The following is a 6,704-nucleotide window of genomic DNA, read 5'->3' on the forward strand; positions in this document are numbered from 1 at the left end:
ACTTCAAAAAGAAATTTGGGAGCCCAATGAGGCCTAGTGTGATAAACTGGATATCCCCAGATAAAAACTAAAAAGAAGCTATTTGTGACACTGCTTTGTGATATGTGGATTCATTTCACAGAGATAAACCTTTCCTTTGAGTCAGCAGGTGGAAGTGCTCTTTTTGTATAATCTACAAAGTAATATTTGGAGCCCATTGAGGCCTATCATGAAAAACAGGATATCTTCAGATAAAAACTTCAAAGAAGCTATCTGTGAAACTGATTTGTGGTGTGAGGATTCATCTCACATAGTTAATCCTTGCATTCGATTCAACAGATTGAAAATACACTTTTTGTAGAATATGCAAAAAAACAATTGGGAGCCCATTGAGGCCTAGGTAGAAAAGCAAAATCACCAAATAAAAAGTAGAAAGAACCTATCTGTGAAACTCCTTTGTGACATGTAAATTCATCTCACACAGATAAAACTTTCTTTTGATTCAGCAGGTTGGAAACATTCTTTTTGTAGAATCTGTGAAGGGGCATCTGAAAGTTCATTGAGGCCTATGGTGAAAAACTGGATATCTTCAGAGAAAAATGAGAAAGAAGATACTTATGAATCTGTTTTGTGATGTGTGGATTCATGTCACAGAGTTAAACCTTTCTGTTGATTCAGCAGTTTTAAAACACTCTTTTTGTAGAATTTGCAAAGGGAAATAGGGCAGCCCATTGAGGCTTATGGTGAAAAACAGAATATACCCAGATTAAAACTAGAAAGAAGCTGTCTGGGAAACTCCTCTGTGATGTGTGGATTCATCTCACAAAGTTAAACCTTTCTTTTGATTCAGCTGGTTGGAATCACATTTTTTGTAGAATCTGTGAAGGGATATTTGGGAGGTTACTGAGGCCTATGTTAAAAAAAGGAATACCCCCAGACGGAAAATAGAAATAAGCTATTTGTTAAAGTGCTTTGTGATCGATGGATTTATCTCACAGGGTTAAACCTTTCTTTTCATTCAGGAGGTTGAAAACACTGTTTTTGTAGAATCTGGGAAGGGATGTTTGGGAGCCCACTGAGGTTTTTGTTTAAAAACAAAATAGCCCCAGATAAAATATAGAAAGAAACCATCTATGGAACTGCTTTGCAATGTGTCGATTCATCTCAGAGAGGTAAACCTTTCTTTTGATTCAGCAGTTTGGAAATAATCTTTTTGTACGATCTGTGAAGGGACCTGTAAGAGCCCTTTGAGGCCAATGGTGAAAAACTGAATATATTCAGATAAAAACTAGAAAAAAGCAATCTGTGAAACTGCTTTGTGATGTGTGGACTTGACTAACAGAGTTAAACCTTTCTTTTAATGCACTAGGTTTGAAATACTATTTTGTAGCGGCCTATGGTAAAAGAAAGAATGTCCACATATAGAAACTAGAAAGAAGCAATCTGTGAAACTGCTTTGTGATGTGTGGATTAGTCTCACAGAATTAAAACTTTACTTTGAATCAGCAGGTTGGAAAGACTCTTTTTGTAGAATCTGTAATGGAATTGATTCAACAAGTTGAAAGCACTCTTGGGATCCAATTCAGGCCTATTGTGAAAAACTCAATATTCCAGATAAAATCTAGAAAGAAGCAATCAGTGAAAGTGATTTCTGATGTACAGATTCACTTCACAGAGTTAAAAGTTTCTTTTGATACAGTGTGTTGGAAACTCTCTTTTGGTAGAATGTGTGAATGGACATTTGGGAGTTCACTGAGGCCCATAGTGAAAAACTGAATATCCACTGTTAAAAACTAGAAATAATTTATCTGTTAAACTGTTTTGTGATGTGTGGATTCATCTCATGGAGTTAAAAATTTGTTTTACTTATTTTTTTATTATTATACTTTAAGTTCTAGGGTACATATGCACAAAGTGCAGGTTTGTTACATATGTATACATATGCCATCTTGGTGTGCTGCACCCATTAACTCGTTATTTACATTAGGTATATCTCCTAATGCTATCCTTCCCCCCTACCCCCTCCCATGACAGGCCCTGGTCTGTGGTGTTCCCCACCCTCTGTCCAAGTTTTCTCATTGTTCAATTCCCACCTATGAGTGACAACATGCAGTGTTTTGTTTTCTGTCCTTGTGATAGTTTGCTCAGAATGATGAGTTCCAGCTTCATCCACATCCCCACAAAGGGCATGAACTCATCCTTTTTAATGGCTGTATATTATTCCATGGTGTATATGTGCCATATTCTCTTAATCCAGTCTATCATTGATGGACATTTGTGTTGGTTCCAAGTCTTTGCTATTGTGAATAGGGCTGCAATAAACATATGTGTGCATGCATCTTTATAGCAGCATGATTTATAATCCTTTGGGTATATACCCAGTAATGGGATGGCAGGGTCAAATGGTATTTCTAGTTCTAGACTCTTGAGGAATCACTACACTGTCTTTGACAATGATTGAACCAACAGTGTAAAAGTGTTCCTATTTCTCCACATCCTCTCCAGCACCTGTTGTTTCCTTACATTTTAATGATTACCATTCTAAGTGGTGTGAGATGGTATCTCACTGGGGTTTTGATTTGCATTTCTCTGATGACCAATGACGATGAGCATTTTTTCATGTGTCTGTTGGCTGCATAAATGTCTTCTTTGGAGAAGTGTCTGTTCATATCTTTTGCCCACTTTTTGATGAGGTTGTTTGATTTTTTTCTTGTAAATTTGTTTAAGTTCTTTGCAGATTCTGGATATTAGCCCATTGTCAGATGGGTAAATTGCAAAAATTTTCTCCCGTTCTGTAGGTTGCCTGTTCACTCTGATGGTAGTTTCTTTTGCTGTGCAGAAGCTCTTTAGTTTAATTAGATCCAATTTCTTAATTTTGGCTTTTGTTGCCATTGCTTTTGGTGTTTCAGTCATGAAGTCCTTGCACATGCCTGTGTCCTGAATGCTATTGCCTAGGTTTTCTTCTAGGGTTTTTATGGTTGTAGGTCTGAAATGTAGGTATTTAATCCATCTTGAATTAATTTTTGTATAAGGTGTAAGAAAGGGATCCAGTTTCAGCTTTCTACATATGGCTAGCCAGATTTCCCAGCACCATTTATTAAATACGAAATCCTTTCCCCATTTCTTGTTTTTCTCAGGTTTGTCAAAGATCAGATGCTGGTAGATGCGTGGTATTATTTCTGAGGTCTCTGTTCTGTTCCATTGGTCTATATCTCTATTTTGGTACCAGTACCATGCTGTTTTGATTACTGTAGCCTTGTAGTGCAGTTTGAAGTCAAGTAGTGTGATGCCTCCAGCTTTGTTCTTTTGGCTTAGATTGACTTGGCAATGCAGGCTCTTTTTTGGTTCCATATGGACTTTAAACCAGTTTTTTTTTTTTCCAATTCTGTGAAGAAAGTCTTTGATAACTTGATGGGGATGGCATTCAATCTATAAATTACTTTGGGCAGTATGGCCATTTTCATGATATTGATTCTTCCTATCCATGAGCATGGAATGTTCCTCAATTTGTTTGTGTCACTTTTTATTTCATTGAGCAGTGGCTTGTAGTTCTCCTTGAAGAGGTCCTTCAGATCCCTTGTAAGTTGCATTCCTAGGTATTTTATTCTCTTTGAAGCAATTGTGAATGGGAGTTCACTCATGATTTGGCTCTCTGTCTGTTATTGGAATGCTTGTGATTTTTGCACACTGATTTTGTATACTGAGGCTTTGCTGAAGTTTCCCATCAGCTTAAGGAGATTTTGGGTTGAAATAATGGGGTTTTCTAAATATACAATCATGTCATCTGCAAACAGGGACAATTTGACTTCCTCTTTTCCTAATTGAATACCCTTTATTTCTTTCTTCTGCCTGATTGCCCTGACCAGAACTTCCAACTATATGTAGAATACGAGTGGTGAGAGAGGGCATCCCTGTCTTGTGCCAGTTTTCAAAGAGAATGCTTCCAGTTTATGCCTATTCAGTATGATATTACCTGTGGGTTTGTCATAAATAGCTCTTATTAAAAATCGGCATGTTGGAAACAGTCTTTTTGTAGAATCTGTAAAGAAACATTTGGGAGCCAATTGAGACCTATGGTAAGATAACAACTAGAAAGAATCTCTTTGTGAAACTGCTTTGTGATGTGTGGATTCATCTCACAGATTTAAACTTTCTTTGATTTAGCAGTTTGAAAGCATTCTTTTGTAGTATCTGAAAAGGGACATTTTGGAGCTCATTGAAGATTATATTAAAAAACTGAATATGCCAAGATAAAAACTAGAAAGAAGCTATCTGTGAAACTGCTTTATAATATGTGGACTAATCTCACAGAGGTAAACCTTTCCTTTGATTCCCTAGGTTTGAGGCACTCCTTTTGTGGAATATGCAAAGGGACATTTAATGCACATAGACATCTATTGTCAAAAACCGAATATGTACAGATACAAACTACAAAAAACTCTCTGTGAAATTGCTTTGTGATGTGTGAATTCACCTCACCAAGTTAAACTTTTCCTTTGACTCAGCACACTGGAAACACTCTTTTTGTAGAATATGTGAGGAAACATTTAAGAGCCCTTTAAAATCTATATTGCAAAACCCAATATGCCCAGATAAAAACAAGTTTGGAAACACTTTTTTTGTAAGATCTATGAAGAGACATTTTGGAAATCACTGGGTCCAATGGTGAAAAATTGAATATCCCAAGATAGAAACTAGAAAGAAGGTATTTGTGAAACTGCTTTTTGATGTGGGATTATCTTACAGAGTTAACCCCTTCTTTTGATTCAACAGCTTGGAAACACTCATTTGTAAAATTGGCAAACGGACATTTGAAAGCCCTTTGAGGTCTATGGCGAAAAAGCCAATATCCCCAGATAAAAACTAGAAATAAGCAATTTCTGAAACTGCTTTTTGATGTTTGGATTCATCCCACAGAGTTAAAACTTTGTTATGATACAGCAGTCTGGAAAGACTTCTTTTGCAGAATCTGTGAAGGGGCATTTTGGAGCCCACTGAGGCACTTGTCAAAATCTGAATATCCCTAGATAAATACTAGAAAGACTCTATCTGTGAAACTGCTTTGTGATGTGTGGATTCATCTCACAAACTTAGATATTTCTTTTGATTAAGAAGATTGGAAACACTCTTTTTATAAAATCTGTGAAAGGACAATTTGGAGGTCACAGAAACCTATGGTGAAAAAGAGAATGTCTCCATATACAGACAAAAAACATGCTATTTGTGAAACTGCTTTGTGATGAACAGATTCATCTCACAGAGTTAAAAGTTTCCTTTGATTCAGCAGGTTGAAAAACCTGTTTGTAGAATCTGTGATGGAACTTTTGGGAGACCATTGAGGTCTATAGTAAAAAAAAATCCCCAGTTAGAAACTAGAAATAAGCTATCTGTGAAACTTCTTTGTAATGTGTGGATTCATCTCACAGGGAAAAACCTTTCTTTGGATTCAGCAGGTTCTAAACACCCTTTTTGTAGAATTTGTGAAGGGACATATGGGAGCCCATTGAAGTTTATGATGAAAAACGGAATATCCCCAGATAAAAACGGTAAAGAAGCCATCTGTGAAACTGTTTTGTGATGTGTGGATTCATATCACAGAGTGAAACCTTTCTTTTTATTCATTAGGTTGGAAACACTATTTTTGTAGAATCTTCAGAGGGATGTTTGGGAGGACTTTGTGGCCTATAGTGAAAAACTGAATATCCCTAGATAAAAACTAGAATGAAGCTTCAGTGAAATGATTTTTGGTGTGTATTCATCTAATGGAGTTAAACCTTTCTTTTGATTCAGCAGGTTGTGAACTCTTTTTCTGTACAATTTTTGAAGGGATATTTGGGAACCCTGAGGCCTAAGGTGAATAACTGCATATTCCCAAATACAAACTAGAAAGAATCTATTAGTAAAACTGCTTTGAGATGTGTGGGTTCATCTCACACTGTTATCACTTTGTTCTAATTCAGTAGGTTGGAAACACCATTTTTGTTGAAACTGCAAAGGGACAATTGGGAGCCTATTGAAGCTTATGGTGAAAAACAAAATATCCCCAGATAAAAAGTAGAAAGAAGCTGTCAGTGAAACGGCTTTGTAATGTGTCAATTCTTATCACAAAAGTAAAACTTCCTTTTGATTCAGCAGGTTGGAAACACTCTTTATGTAGAATCTGAAAGTGAATATTTGGGAGCCCATTGAGGCCTGTGTTGAATATCTGAATACCCACCAATAAAAACTAGAAAGAAACTATCTGTGAAACTCATTTGTGATGTGTGTATTCATCTTAAAGAATTAAGCCTTTCTTTTTTTTTCAGAAGGTTGGAAACACTCTTTGTAGAATCTGGGAAGGTACATTTTTGAGCCCATTTAAGCCTATGGTGAAAAATTTAATATCTCCAAATAAAAACTAGAAAGAAGTTATCTGTAAAACGGCATTGTGTGGTGAGGATTCACCTCACAGAGTTAAACTTTCCTTTTGATTCAGCAGGGTTAATTCTTTCTTTTGATTCAGTAGGTTGGAATCACTTTTTTTGTAGAAACTGTTAAGAAACATTTGGGAACCTATTATGACCTATTGTGAAAAAACGAATTTTTCCAGAGAAAAACTAGAAGGAAGCTATCTGTGAAATTATAATATGTGTATTCATCTCACAGAGATATAACTTCCTTTTGACTTACCAGGTTAGAAACACTGTTTTGTAGAATCTGCAAAAGGACGTTTTTGATCACATTGA

The sequence above is a fragment of the Homo sapiens genome, chromosome 8 (assembly GCF_000001405.40).
Source record: "Homo sapiens chromosome 8, GRCh38.p14 Primary Assembly".
Classification (NCBI taxonomy): domain Eukaryota; kingdom Metazoa; phylum Chordata; class Mammalia; order Primates; family Hominidae; genus Homo; species Homo sapiens.